The sequence below is a fragment of the Homo sapiens genome, chromosome 3, assembly GCF_000001405.40.
Source record: "Homo sapiens chromosome 3, GRCh38.p14 Primary Assembly".
Taxonomy (NCBI): Eukaryota; Metazoa; Chordata; class Mammalia; order Primates; family Hominidae; genus Homo; species Homo sapiens.
In genome coordinates, this window is record NC_000003.12 from 155,154,057 (window position 1) to 155,169,696 (window position 15,640).

Genomic DNA, 15,640 nt, shown 5'->3' on the forward strand with positions numbered 1-15,640 from the left:
ATTAGTAAAACATTCTCTGGAATCAATATGTCAGCATTTAAATTAATATTGAGGTGAGCAGAGGATTCACAAAAAACAAAACAAAAATGATTGGCTCATTTCTGTCTGCCCCTTGGTTGCTTCAAGCATGGTGTTTTTTTTCTAATCTGGTGCAATTGGATGGTGGCACACCTCTGAAATAAGTGGAACCCCTAAAGCTGGCAGCTCAACATCTGTGACTCCGTGGTGCATATAGAAAGTTCCTGAAAGGCCAGCACCACCAAAAATGGCAGAGCAGTTGGCACCCTGGGAAGTGACACTGTAGTTTTGCCACTGCAATGAGTGCCTAATACTCTTTTAGTGTTCCAGTTCTGCCATTCACAACCTGTGGCCTTTTAAAAGCCCTGTGGTTTCCTTATTTATAAAATGAGTAGGCTGTGCTAGACTGTAGAATGTGTCTGAGGTTCTTTCTGGCACTAAAATTCTGTGGACCTTACTGTGAAGTTTTCATAAGAGCCAGGAAGTTTTCCTCCTTGGCTTCTCCGCATCAAATGACCCAAGAGAAAAAAACACATTCTTGAGTGGCAGAGAAGTACCTCGCTTCTTTCTAAAATATCCCTTCTGATTTTTCCACTTCACTAATGTTTCTAGAACCAACCTTCTTTCTAACTAAGTTCTGTATAGTTCAACTTGAGTATCAAAGGAAAAATAATTATGCAGAAATTATATGGGTAAATATGATGGCCCAGCAGTGGAAAGTTGATAGTCTCTCGAGGGTGGGCAGGCGGAGCACCGGACACTTGAGACAAATGACTCTCCATAAATGTAGACGGAGATGATTTGTAAAAAGGACTATTTGACTCAGCAAGTATTAGCCAGAAAGAAGAGATACACTAAACTTGAACAAATCAGTTTAATTTCCCAAGGCAGTATCTGCCATGGCATCCTCATGTTTTGCACATGTTGTAACAGATGAAAATTTTAGATTTTTACGTTTTATGCTTCCATTAAGCCAACAGAGTCTTTGCAGATTTTCATTGTGTTTTGGGGTTGTTAGCAAAATGTGTTCTATTGGCAAAAAGATTTCTGCTTTTTAGTCAGCATTTGATGAGGGATTCTGTTTTGTTTCGTTTTGTTTTGTTTTCCAGAGGGGGAAGGGGAATTAGAAAAGGAAGCCGAATAATTTAAAGGCTGAAATTTTAGGTAGTTCTTTTTTAAAAACAAAACGAAACAAAAATATCATCTTCAAACAACACAATTAAAAGGTCCTAAACTTCCATTTAAACTGAAAGAACTTTGCAAAAGAATTCTGATACATTTATTTCAGTGTCATCTCTTGAAAGGACAACATTCAACGGTGCACAGTTTCTGACAGCCACCACTCTCTATGACGTGCATAGCAATGGTGCCCTCTGCCCTCCTAGAGTCACAGGATGAAATGGGTCAGCACTCTGGGAGCTTGGAGGACCCAATGCTATACCAAGGCCCAAATAGCCAAGTGCCTACTATGCTCCCACCACTGGTCTTAGCCTTAGGATTCAATTAAGAACAAAACATGGAATATTCTTGCCTTCATGGAATTACCTTCTAATGAGCTAGGTAGACAATAGTCTTATGTCAAGTTATGTAAGTACTGAGGGTTATACAGTATGGAACAGGTTTCAGTTCTTTCCTGGAAGTTCTCAGAATTACTTTAAATCAGGAGAAAAGTCACCAAAGAAAATTCTGACAGAAATGATCCACCCACCCAAGTGTCTCCAAAATTAGGAATCTCTCCGAAATAAAGCATACCAAGTGTGTATGCACATATATGTGCATGTACACATATATAAGGTTAGCAAAGACTAAAAAGATTGTGCCTTGTTGCCAAACAGAACTACACACAAACAACTGGTAACATCTAGGAAAACAGTAGTAATTTTCCATTACCTTTTGTTGAAAGAGAAGTGGCTTCTCCCAGTTTAGTGTCAAAATCAGAGTCCTAGCCTCAGACAGATTCAGGTAAGTCACCCAGAGTACTTCAGTTATGTTAACAACCATATGCAACAATAGAAGTTCTTTGGTCCTACTGTGCTTTTGCCTTTGGGTAAAAAGTTACACTTATGGATCATTGGGAAGAGCCTGTGCTGTGGAGTCAGGGGGTGAGGGGAGTAGACCTGAGTCAGAATTCCTGCTTTGCCTCCTAACCTCTGAACCTAGAATTTTTCCTTTATAATCTGGTGATAATGACTTCACTTTTGTCCTGCATGGTTGTGTTCTACGTTGTATAATGCACCTAGAACATAACTTAGGTGCTCATTAAATAGTAACCAGTGTGACACAGTAGTAAGAAATGGTCATCTTCATTTTTAAAGAGGATGGCAAGAAAATGGCATTAATCCCTGTAATGAAATTTTGTGTATGGTGCAGATCAACAGCTTAGGAGTAGGAGATTTGATTGGAAGGTGAGCAGGTTCCTATTCTTCTTAGTTTAAATATAATTTTCCCAGTTATATAACGTAGTTTGTAGGTGTATTAGGAAAGAGATTAATAACCATATTGTGCCTCAGTTTCTATACCTGCAAATATATGGATGGTTTGAAAGATGAATAAAAGTATACAGAAAACTTCGAAGTCTTGATGAGAGAATATTGATAATTGTAAAGGATTAGAGTGATTATTGTGATTACAAGGTAAGAATTCTTTCCACCCAGGCGACTGGAGGAAGACACAGAAAATCTATCGTATTGCACTGCTGATTTCAAAGGAGTTGCTTTGAGACTACTAAATGCTGAGAAATTGAACACTGGCAGTACCGGCTCACTAACAATTTTGTTGTTTTCAGTTTTTAAGTTACACAAGAGTGGGTGAAAAAAATTTATTCTAGGTGCTTTTGCAATCTAGTGGGCTTATAATACCCAAAAGGCTATAGGATCAGTCTGTTGTCTTCTGCTTTTCTTCCCAGCTATAAAAATTATTTCTGCACACTTTCATCAGCACTAAGCTTCTTCAGGGCAATAAGAGATAGAAGAGAAACACCTGGTTCCTCTGTCAGGTATATTTCAGTTCTATTCCCCACCCACATTGTTAGCTCAGCTTTGAGGGCCATACTGCTTCTAGTGGCCCCTCTTTGTTTTACTGCCAAATGCCCCCAAACGAGAATAAGCTTACCTGACAAAATTACATCTCATAAATTAAAAATAAGGTTTCTTCCTTCCTGCTTCCCCACTCTTCACTTTATACCACATACATGCCCACATTTGTATGCATACAGACCACCAGAGGAAGGATGAGAAATGGAAGAACAGTGGTTCATCTCTAAAGTCTGATACTGCTCTGTGGAGGCTGTTAGTGTTTGGCCTCCACACTTTAAAGGTATCTTCAGGTAACCTACACTATCTATTATTTTAGGGGCAAGAATCACCACCATTTCACTTTCTCTTTGTGAATTTTCTCTTCTCTGTGCTGCCAGTCAGCATCAAATTTGGACTGCATTCCAACCAAAAGAACTTACAGTTTTTGTTACATCACTGTTTAGTTGGCCCTGTTAATTTAGTTTTTATATTAACATTGAGATATTTTGTGATTGATCACAAATATTAGACATTCAGTCTATAGTTGTTATCATCACCTTATTTAAGATGTAATGATCTAATCACAGTACTTCCAGAGGTTCTGATTATTACCAGGGACAAAATGTCCTGTGCTTTTGGTAATTCCCAGACTGGTTTGAGGGCACATCAAGAAAGATCTCAAAGAAGAAAAGGCAAATACTACACACTAGTGCTGTGTAAACCCAACCACCATAATTCTAATTTTATTTGAATGTTTGGTGGTCATAAATAGCTACCTATTTTCTTTAAGGTATAATTCACAGTGGACATTTTAATATGCAAAACTCTCCCTGCTGGAAATTTGCAAACATAAATCAAAATGCAGTCTTAAAGCCCTCAATGTAATGTAACAGAAGAGCAGAAAAGCACTAAAACAAAAGGTATGACATTTATTTTTACAAAAGCAATAGACACAAGATGGATAATATATAAACTTCATTCGTGTCCTACTTTTGTGATCTATTGTTATCTGAAACATTAATTTCATATATCCTGTTCCTCTCCTCTGTAATCACAGTTTAAAAACAACTTGGATTGGCACCTTTTCTATTTCAATATTAGGATTTTTGACTAGTCCAGAGCCAAAAAATATGCAACTGTTATTTGTAATTACCTGTAAAACCCATGTAGAATTCACTGTCACTAAACCAGAAGTTCGCAATTGAGAAACTGAACCCTAAAACCACTGGGACCTAGATACCTGTTAAATTAACTTTTATAGCAGTTAAAACTTTAATAACTATAAGCTGTTTACCTAAAAAATTTGCTGCCACGTTTGCTATGAAAATGTCGAGGACACATCAGAATTACCTTTCAGAAGTCATGCAAGGAACAATGTTTCCCCCTAGGAGTAGTAAGAGCACATTTTCCATTTTGACTTTCTTGCCAGACAGCTTGGAATCGTATCTGAACCTGAATTATAGTAACTGTCTGAATATATATAAACATAGTCATAATATATTTCCTAATCATGATTTTTGTTTATTTTCTTTTATAATACTTCGTAGTCACGTCAACGCAATCTATTTGTTCTACATCGTTTCTGATCTCTCAATTTTAGTCTAATATCCCTGGGTTTACACATACATGTTTTTCTTGTGAGTCAACACAAATTATGTGGGAAGCAAATAGAGTTTAATTAAAATAAATAAAATTATATTGTTGTAATCATCAACCTGCAAGAAATACTAAAATACTGATGACTCGGCTGTAATGAAATTAAGGAGGACTGATATTATCAGTCCCCCCCCATCCTGTTTAAAAATGCTTTCTCGATTTAAAACAACAGCAGTAACAAACTAAGGAAGAAACATGTTGATCAATCATTCTTCCCCATCTCCAAGCTTTTTTTCTTCCTAAAGAAAAATTAACAGAAATGTTAACTAAATTTTTTTAAGTCCCAAATCCTTTATATAAAAAGTCTTGATAAGTTGTTGTAGACAAAACCCATTCTTAGAATTTATCAGTCAGTTGTTATATATTGCCCTGTGCTAGTTATTTTTAAGAGATCAAAATAAAATTCACTTCTGACAGCCCAAAATAGTTACTGACATTGTAACTAAAGCAACATTGTAACTAAAGCCTACTTTGTACAGCTCACCTGGCAGAGCAGGGTCTAGAAACAGTTCTGATGTAACCTAATTGTGCTAATTACTGTACACCCCTTCTGTGAGTAGGATAATTGTCATACTAACAGTTGCCATGAAAGTAGAACAACTGCAGTGAAGCCATTAGATGATGATCTCTGACTACCTTAAATGTATGCATGTATGCTGACATTTAAGAGGTTATCTGAAGTCAAGCAGTATCCATTTTTCCAATGAGCAAGTAACGATATATGTAGTAGTCTACTAAGATGAGAACTTTAGTCCTGTTGCGCAAAATTTCTGAACACATGATTATTAATATGCAGTCTTCATAACATCTGAGCAGAGAGACATGGGAACTTTGGCTCCTATCCTCATCCCTCAAATTATCATCTGGGAGCCATTTTTTTCCATTTTTTCATTCAGCCTATAGTTATTTATGCATTTTTCTCATCTCCTCAACTAAACTAGAGTCTCCTGAAGTCAGGAACTGTATTTTATAAAATCTCTGGGTTCTATACAGAGCCTTAGACATGGTATAGACAGACAGACAGACCGACAAATCTACTTAAGAATGACCTGGGTTTCATTTTAAAGTCATACAAAAATATATCTTTGCTCAATTAGCTGGAATGTTGTATTTTTTGAAAACACTTTTAAATGGCAATAATCAGAGACATATTACTCTAAGACAACTACTTGAGATATCTTAGTTCCCAAAAAGGTTCTTTGTAAACCAGGAATTAACTATTTTTAATATACTTGGATCTGAAGTTTTAATGACCCACACTTCAGTATTCTGTCAACTGCTCCAGAATCGTTGTCATAGTTACCTAGTATCAGGAACATAAAGCTAAATAAATTTCAATACAATCTTAACCCATTGCAATTTCTGAAGTGATACATTTTAATAGGTTTTGCAACATCAGAGGCCTCCATAAAAATCCATGCAAATAAAATAAAAGATTACAGACTTGAATATATGCTGATGTTTTTCAAGAAATAGAAATGCTTTCAAATGAGCTCTCACCTAGTGAACTAATTTTAATTTGTTGATCATGTTTCAAACAGAAAGTTAAGATTCATCTAGGAATGGTAATAATGCTTTAATTGTGTGAGTGGGTTGAATCAGATAATGCAGTATCATTTGTAAAGAGTTCTTATGTTTTCTACAGGTGGATAAGTGGAGCAGCTGTAGTCAATGCATTTTACTCTTCAGGAAGAAATCAGATAGGTAAGGTGTATTCTTAAATAATTATTTAATATTTCTCTATCGTTCCCAACCTGTAGTGCATTGTATGACCAATTACAATACCTCTAAACAAGCACAGCTGAGGCTGAGTTATTGCTCTATTGAATGCATTTCTTGAAAGTAAATGCATCCGTGTACCTTCTTTCACTATAGTGGGAAAATTCAGATTGGTACAAATCACGTTAAGTAGTTTTGTTTCTTTTACAATATTCTTATTTATATCTAAAATGGTTTATCTTATTTCTAAATATTTTTATTTTATTTCTAAGTACCTTTTTTAAAGTCCCTTGAATATATCTATATAAAGTCATATTGACTTTAAGACTCATTAAGCATTAGCTTCTTAAAGTGGTTTAAGGTTTCAAGAGCCAACTTTTCACAGATCCAGTCCTCCTGGCAATTCTGTATGCTGGCTCTGTGAGAGATGATCCTATTCTATGTCATCTTCATTCAGGAAGGCTCCAAGGGGTTTAGAAAGTTGGAATCTCAATTATATTCGATTGAATCGTATGAAATTGTATTTACCTAGCCACAATTGATCAAAAAAGAAAAAATTTCGTAAGTTCGCTTATAGTATTATTACAGACATATATATACATTAACACATGAATAAGTTATCATATATGATGAATAACTGAATGACATAATATGACAAAAATATTTTCTTCTTCTTGGGAAGGCCTGGACATCTTTGAACATACATTGGCTCACATATATCACTTATCACATACATTGGCTCATTTTTTTTCAGGGGGTTTTTAGCATTAGAAAGGTACTCAACTGATTCAGTACTGCCAGAAATATTCTAAACAAATAGTAGAGCAAGCTTCTGCAGGTGCACTCAGTTCTCCAGGTACACTCAGTCCTGCCCTTCATTTCTAAACGTGGTCTAGAATTAAGAGAGATGATAATCTCAGCATTATTCTAAACCATTCTTCTTATAGCTCAGAGTCTGTTGTAAGCCTCATTTTTATTGAATTCTATTACCAATTAGATTAGAAATTATAAAAAATCTTACAAGATATTTATCATTGGCTAAAAAAAAACTAACCTTAAAATAAATTGTATATTTTTAGGTTAAAGTTTGATTATACCTTTCCCCGTTGCTTTCAAGTCTAAAAAGAGTTAGGTTAAGAAGTTATCTACAGTTTCTTCTAGTATTTTTATGATTTCTATTTTTGGAGTAAAACCTGAATCCATCTGGAATTTACGTTGGTACATGACCTGAAACTGAATTATATAAAGTAACCAGAAAAGACTGTTTTGTATAACATATAAATAATAAGTAAGATATGTTTACTTGGCTTAAAATTACTTAGCTCAAAGTCTAAGCTAATGCTTTCTGGCTAGGGAAATGATTACCCAAACCCATACCAGAACGTGCTTAATAATCAACTCCTCAGAACCTTTGCAGTCAGTCCTTTATAATATATTATTTGAAACCATTCAAATCTTGTTTTAAAATGCCTTTATCTCTAGAGAGTCTTCACTTTGAAGCCCTCTTTTTAATATTCAGTAGTTCTGTCAGTGTCTAGTTCATTTGGTACTGAGACAAACGTAATAATTAACTTTCAATGGAATCCCAAGTCAAAGCAAGGCAACTTAGACTCCTTAGTGCTGCATTAGAGCAGAATAAGGGATGCAGCTTCATTTCAGTCCAGCCCAGGGAGGACCCTGGATCCTATCGGAGCTCATGCTGGTGCATCCTCAGTAGGACCACTCTGGCATGTTCAGTCCTTCAGCCCTTCTCTAGAGTAGGCTCAGGCATTTATGCCAAGCAGGACCTTGTTTGATTCTGAATTACCCCAAGCCCCTGGAGGTGGCTCCAAATTGGCCCACTTCAGGGATTCCCCGATCAGAGAAGAGCTGAAAATATTTTCATTTTGAGTATAATGTCTTGAAACCAAAGAAGCACACAGAAAAAGGAAAAAGAAGGTAAAAGTGGCCCAATAGTGGTCTATTTCACAAAATAAACAATAATCCTCTGGTAAATCAAGAATTAGCTATAATAACAATTCTGAATATATAAAAAAGACCTTTTCCAAGATCCTTAAAATAAGGATCCAATGGAAATATAAAATAAGAAAACTTGTTAACCTCTTTTCATATGCTTGCCTGGTTCTTGAACAGCAGAAGAAGGGAAATCCTTGAAATGTACACTTTTTTTCTTTCACAATTTAAATCTTCAAAGTGGGGATTGTCTTAACTAAAAATAGTTGAAGAGTCAAATCTCCATCTTTTTTCTTGATAGGAATGTTTATGTGGGCTGGGTGTGGTGGCTCATGTCTGTAATCTCAGCACTTTGGGAGGCTAAGGTGGGTGGATCACCTGAGGTCAAGAGTTCGAGACCAGCCTGGCCAACATGGTGAAACCCCATCTCTACTAAAAATACAAAAATTAGCCCAGTGTGGTGGTGGGTGCCTGTAATCCCAGCTACTCGGAAGGCTGAGGCACGAGAATCGCTTGAACCCAGGAGGCAGAGGTTGCAATGAGCTGAGATCATGCCACTGTACTCCAGCCTGGGTGACAAAACAAAACTCTGTCTCAAAAAAAAAAAAAAAAAAAGAAAGAAAAAGAAATGTGTATGTGTATATAAATACACACATACCTACCTATATACATGTCTTCTGCAACACTGTCTTAATGGATTTGGGATAATGTCCATTATAAAATTAGGGTTGGTATAGAGTAATATGTGCCACGTAAGTGAGCCCCTCCCTCCATACACACACATAGACATACAAATACTCCAAATTAGACTGCATACACTTTCTCACGGGATTGGTCATTTTATGTTGTTATGTTAAAAAAAGAACTTGTTTTGTTATATAGAGACTTACTCATATCAATAATTTCTACTTCTTAATTCAGTTTTCACCATTTTGTTAGAACTCACACATGTAGGCTACATTCCAATTTGTATGCATTCCTACTCTTCATATCAACAAAAAAGTCAATTTCCAAGAAAGAAGGCAAACTAAAAGTGCTTAATCCACTGTTCCTCTTCCTTGCATGTTTACTTCATGGAGCTCTAGAAGGCCCCTGTGCCATGACATTAGGAAAGCTGCGCTTCAATGTTTTGTCATATGGTTCTCTGTAAGTTCTAGGTGCTGTTCAGTCATCTTATTAAACCTTAAAATCGCAGTCAAGGAAATAATTTAGTGTATTCTCCTTTTTCATTAAAATTGCAGAAAGGATCTTTTAAATCAATTTTTTTAATTTCTCAAATGTGTAAGTTCTTCAGTGTGTTCAGTCTGTGTCGACTATAAATACCTTGAGATAGTTAAATTTTCTAAATTGCCTTATTTATTCTTAGGAGTTTTATTTTCAGACTTGAAAATTAAGACTGTTTCCAAACATATTGTTACTCCATTTAATATAAAAAGAATGTTTAGACTATGCATGGTGGCTCATGCCTGTAATCCCAGTAGTTTGGAAAGCTGAGGTAGGCTGATTACTTGAGCTCAGGAGTTGATACCAGCCTGGGCAACACTGTAAAACCCCATCTCTACCAAAAACTACAAAAAATTAACTGGGCATGGTGGTGCATGCCTGTGGTCTCAGCTACTTGAGAGGCTGAGGTGGGAGGATTTCCTGAGCCTGAAAGGTGGAGGTTGCAGTAAGCTGAGGTCACACCACTGCACTTCAGCCTGGGTGACAGAGTAAGACCCTGTTTCAAAAAAAAAAAAAAAAAGAATGTTTAATTATTTTCCACCAAAAAAATTACTTAATTGCTGCCTTAGGCTACATATGAAATATTCTAAAATTGAATTGCTAGCAGCCTTCAGAAAATAAACCACAGAAGTTGTGCTGGGGAGGCAAAAACAGGGGGAAGAGGAGACATGGTCTTTTGCTTCATGGCCCAATGACTTATTTAATTAACTAACTTGTTGACAATCATGAACATAAAAAATGCACAACTAAGCAGTTGGTTATAAACAACAGTTGTGATGCCTACTAGGTAACAGCAATAAGGCTAGTGGGGAAAATCCTCCTTACAGAGATTTAGCTGACAAAGTAAAAGGGGAGGTCATAATTAGCAAAGTTGAACTTGAAGACTAATATTTAATAAGAACCATAAAATCTTATCACTTGCCTGAAGAATGGCATATCAGGGTATGATTAAAGCAGCAGGATCTTTGTAGTTAATATTTAGTCTTGATAGCACATTTCATAACAGCATTTTATATAATGGGTGGATTTTAATCAAAGTACATAGTGTGGGAGATAGTATTCACTTTAACTTAATAAAGTACTGCACATAATTTTTATACTTTAAGGTAAAAATAAGTTCATGGCTCCATTTAGCTCAGGCTGCTACACGTGAGGTATAACTTTCATAAAAATTCTCTAAAGACAAAAGTACTTTTTTGTTGTCGTGTCATTTGAATGTTATGGCAACTTTCCAAATTTTTGTAGAGGTCTGGGGAGCAATTAAATTGCTCAGATGCTTTTTGAAGTCTTCTCTGTAAATATCTAATATTTATCCCTGAAGCCCATGCAAGGTTATACTGTGTTCAGCCCACCTGAAAGACAAAGAAATAACATGTGCTACTCTGTGTTAACTAGATCTTAAATTTCTTAAGGTCAGGGCCCTTGTTTTATTTTCTTAATGTCCTGCATAGCAATGACCCAGGGCTTTGCACTTAATAGGTATTGATACTGAAGGGTTTTTTTTTAATTACAGAAAGTAACGTTTCAGTTATTCAGTGGATGCTAGAGTTTTAAGCCATTAAAGATAGAATTACTAAACTATGAACATTTAATTAATTTAATTTTAATTTCTTTCTAAGGTCAAAGATTAGTTACCTCCAAATAACATGACCCAAAATTTGATTAAACAGGGGAAATATATTCCAAGGGAAGATACTCTCCATCTTTTATTAGTATTTAAGACACATTATTAGTATATTTCAGAAATAGTGAAATATATTTCATGAGAGTATATATTATAAGAGGATACTGGAATGGGGCAGGGAAGGGGAGGGTATGATGGAGGTGGAGAGGTGGGAGAGGACCCTGGGGCCATAGGCCAGAAAGATGTGTTTAGCTAGAGAGCAATGGTAAGCCTTCCAAAGATTTTTAGCAGGAGAATGATGATGCCCAGAGTTGTCTTTAATCTGGCTACAGGATAGATTCAGAGAGTAGATTAGATTTAGAATAGATTGTAGTTGTGTGAGACAGAAAGTGGGAGACTGATTAGGAAATTAAGTCATTCCTGAGACAAGGAATGAGAGTATGTGTAAACAGTAATACTGACAGGAGAAGATAAAGATGCTCCTGAAAGCTACCTCACCCAGCCTCTGCCTAAGCAGACTTGTAAAAGACTGTAAAAGAAAGGAGGCATCTAAGATAAGTAGAAACATTTACTTTTGCTGATAGAGACCCTTCAAGGGCCATTAGCAGAAATAATACAAAGACTGAGGGCCTAGAGGGGAAAATGAATTTGATGTTTGATGCATTAAATATAACACATTTGTGAGACATCTGAATGGAGAAAGTTAGCAAGTTAATGCAGATGTCAGAGTAGACATACTGAAAACTACAATTCATTTATTTATTCACTAAACTCTGTAGGACACATTAGTAAGTTAGGGTGATCATTCATTTATTTATCATTGATTATTCATTGATTCAGCACATTTCCTGAGCCCTGATTATGTTCCAGGTACTATTCTAGTTTTAGGCATTGTTCAATTTTAGGCATTTAGATAATGAACTAGAAAAATGTATGAAATTAAAAAATAAACAAATATATGTACAGACACAGAAATCTCTGCTCTCAAAGGGCTAATATTTGAGGAGCTGGGGTAGGATTAGGGCAGACAAGAAAAGGAAGGACTGTGATCATAAAGAAATAAATAGAATATGAGGTAGTCATAAGTGCCTTGATGAAAATAAGGTAAGGTTATGTGATTGAGGTATACCTTCAATTGAGTGGCAATACTTATTTAAGATATTATTGTAGATGGATACAATTTCTGCAATAACATTAAAAATAATATTGGTGTTACTGAGTAACTATTTCTTCCAAATATTTATAAGGCAGAAAGGACCTTCTGAATGAAGGTTATAACTTCCCTTTGCTTCAAACTCCTTACAGCACAAAACAATCTTGGATTGTAAAGTGAATCGTGATGATAAATCATAGTTTATAGCACCACTCCAAGGTGAACTCTGTTGTCATCCATAATAAAATGCCTGCATTGGTTTCTATTACAGAAGGTTTTTGTATATAACTAAGTGAAACTGACATAGTGAACAGCAGCTTAGCAAGCACAAAGCCAACCCCAAGCCTGCCATCACTGAATAATGCCATGGTGGCATGCGCCTGTAGTCCCAGCTACTCCTGAGGAGGGAGGACTGTCTCTAAGAAAATAAAAATTTTAAAAACTTATGCCACAAATAATCTCTAACTATCTTCTCTCCTTGTAGTCTTCCCAGCCGGCATTCTGCAGCCCCCCTTCTTTAGTGCCCAGCAGTCCAACTCATTGAACTATGGGGGCATCGGCATGGTCATAGGACACGAAATCACCCATGGCTTCGATGACAATGGTAAAGTGCAGTTGACATTTTCCTTTGGCTGAGGTATATGCTCATAAATTTGATTAAGAGTTATTATAATTTATTACTACAAAGCTACATTTATTCAAACATGTATCATTTCTCTAATTTTCACCACACTTTCAATTTTCCCTTTAAATTGTTGCTTAAAGAGATCAGAAAATTCTCATAGTGAGTTAAGCAATGTGTGCTTTACACTCTGGCAGAATGAAGTAAATATTCCCATTGGGAAAATACTATGGTGTTTGTCAGCGGCAGTGATAATACTAGGTCTTAGTTTCCTGGTTGTATATGACGTATCTTGTCATACTCTTAAAGGACAGGCTGCATGTCTATGTCTTAAAATCAGATGTAAAATCAGAAAATATTGCCTCTCCAAGAGCTCAAAAGACTCTTAAGCTGCTTAAGAGACCTTTTTTTTTTCGTCTTGTACCTACTACCTAGTTCAAGTCTTTGCAAACAGTTAGGCACTTAAATGCCACCCTAAATGGAAAAATCAATTTAGAGTTTCAATCAAAGCTGAATTCCTGAGAGGAATAAAGACGTGAAATATGTAAAGAGGTGATAGTTCAATCTATGACAAATTTCATTCACAAATGGAAAGTAGAGAACAATAGAGAGAAAATACTTAATCCCCATTTTAGAGAGCCAGAGAAAGAAAAAGAGACAGAAATGTTAGAATTCTTAAAAAGACTTACTAAGTGTCTATTAACTCAAACTATGCAACAGTCTTTACAGGTAGGTTCTAATACTGTTTCTGTTTTCCAAGTGGAAAAAAATAAAAACACATGAAAGATTTGCCCAAAGGTAACAAAGATAGGAACTGGTAGAACCAGAAGGTGAATTCAAGTAGGTTGGCTACATAGCCCTTTTCTTAATCACTACGTCATAGGCAAATATGAAAAAGATGGTAATATTGTGTCAAAACACATGATACATATAAATGCAATTGGAGCTCAAAAGGGAGAAAGATCGATGTAGTTTGTGGTTGGCAAGGAAGCTGTAGGAGAAAAAGACTTTTTTTGTGTGCTTGAAGTAGAGGGAAACTATGAGTCCACAGTGTCCTATGAAGGGTCCAGGAATATAAAAATGCCAGAATAAAAATGTTGGCCATTTTAAAAATCTCAAAATATCAAACTAAACAGACTTGGGTCAGGTAAAAACCATTCAACAGAACAAGGCATAACTTCAAGAATATTTTGTCTGGCGGCCTCTTCTGAGATATCAAGAGCCAAATGGGTGAAATGTCTGGGTCAATGCTGAGAAGCATTAGCAAAGAAAGCTCTGGCAGTCCAGGCTTTGCCAACTCTGTGATGAGGAGGGATGACAGTCTCTCTCATCGTCTGCCTAATTTAATGTTCTGTCACACAGCAGTATTTCAGTCCTTGCACTTTGAATTAAACATATCTTATAATTCTTGTTGCAATGAGTTCCCATTTTACTTAAATAAATATATTATAGGCAGAAACTTTAACAAAGATGGAGACCTCGTTGACTGGTGGACTCAACAGTCTGCAAGTAACTTTAAGGAGCAATCCCAGTGCATGGTGTATCAGTATGGAAACTTTTCCTGGGACCTGGCAGGTGGACAGCACGTATGTCATTAGCATTCTCTTGAAAAGTTTTAGACATGTTCAATCTTAAGTGTATTATTGGTGGTTTCTTTTTTTAACAATCCTAATAAAGTGTCTTTTTTAACAGCTTAATGGAATTAATACACTGGGAGAAAACATTGCTGATAATGGAGGTCTTGGTCAAGCATACAGAGTAAGTAAAAAAGATTTTCTTTCCATTTTAGTGATTTAGAGTGTTTCTCATATTTAATAATTCATTTAAAACCTTTTGCAAAAAAAGAAACTCATATAAGCAGTAAATGATGAATAGAAAATGGAAAAAAATATGAGAAGAAAGAGTGGTGAATATGCTAACCATAAGGGTCAATACATTGATGTGACGGAGCTGAACACTTAAGTTTGCAAAGAGCCAAGAAGAAGAGAAAATATGGAATATTATATCAGCTGAAATGAGGAGAGAGCAGGTTCACAAAGGAGGCAACATTTTTCTAAGAAATAATCTCTGGAATAATTTTTTTAGAAGAAATGTCCCATAAGAAGGATTATTTCAGGGTCTTTGACCAATATAAGAAACAGGACCTTCAGTTTTGTAGCAGGTGAAGTAGCATTTGGGAACAAAAATCAATGTAAACCACAGGCATATTAAACCATAGTTCATATATGATACAGTAAGGGACTGACGTGATATGGTTCCAGCACATGGCCTTGTAGTCAACCACACTATTATACACAGAGGACTATTAACAGTGGAGCATCCGTTAGAATCCCATTTAGCCTTCCATTCATTCTTGCATTCAATACATATTCATTGAGGCTTAATAGGTTTGGCAGTATTCAAAGAGCTGGAGATAAAGCAATGAATGCTTTATGAAAGGTCATTATTTGAGGATCTGAGCAAGGGTTAAAAAATAGTCTGGTGGATGCCATGTGCATAAGAAAAAGCAGGGAATTTCATAAAAGGGTGGAGGAATGATGGTCTAGGAAGCAACAAAAAGGAATGAAGATGATTTTGAGTGTTTTTCTCAACTATGAAGTAGCCCATATGTAGGAGAAAGAGCAGCATCTACTTGAGATGTCACAAGGAACAACTTG

The 15,640-nt window shown here is 35.9% G+C and overlaps 1 protein-coding gene across 10 annotated transcripts in view; it reads left to right on the forward strand.

Moving 5' to 3' along the window:
- MME (membrane metalloendopeptidase) overlaps positions 1 to 15,640 on the forward strand; it is a 159,528-nt gene that overhangs the window by 129,855 nt on the left and 14,033 nt on the right. For all 10 annotated transcript variants that reach the window (NM_001354642.2, NM_000902.5, NM_007287.4 and 7 more), the window contains exons 17-20: positions 6,334 to 6,392; positions 12,846 to 12,965; positions 14,436 to 14,569; positions 14,676 to 14,741. In NM_001354642.2, coding sequence (NP_001341571.1) covers positions 6,334 to 6,392; positions 12,846 to 12,965; positions 14,436 to 14,569; positions 14,676 to 14,741 — 379 coding nt within the window. The remainder of the gene's footprint in view (positions 1 to 6,333; positions 6,393 to 12,845; positions 12,966 to 14,435; positions 14,570 to 14,675; positions 14,742 to 15,640) is intronic.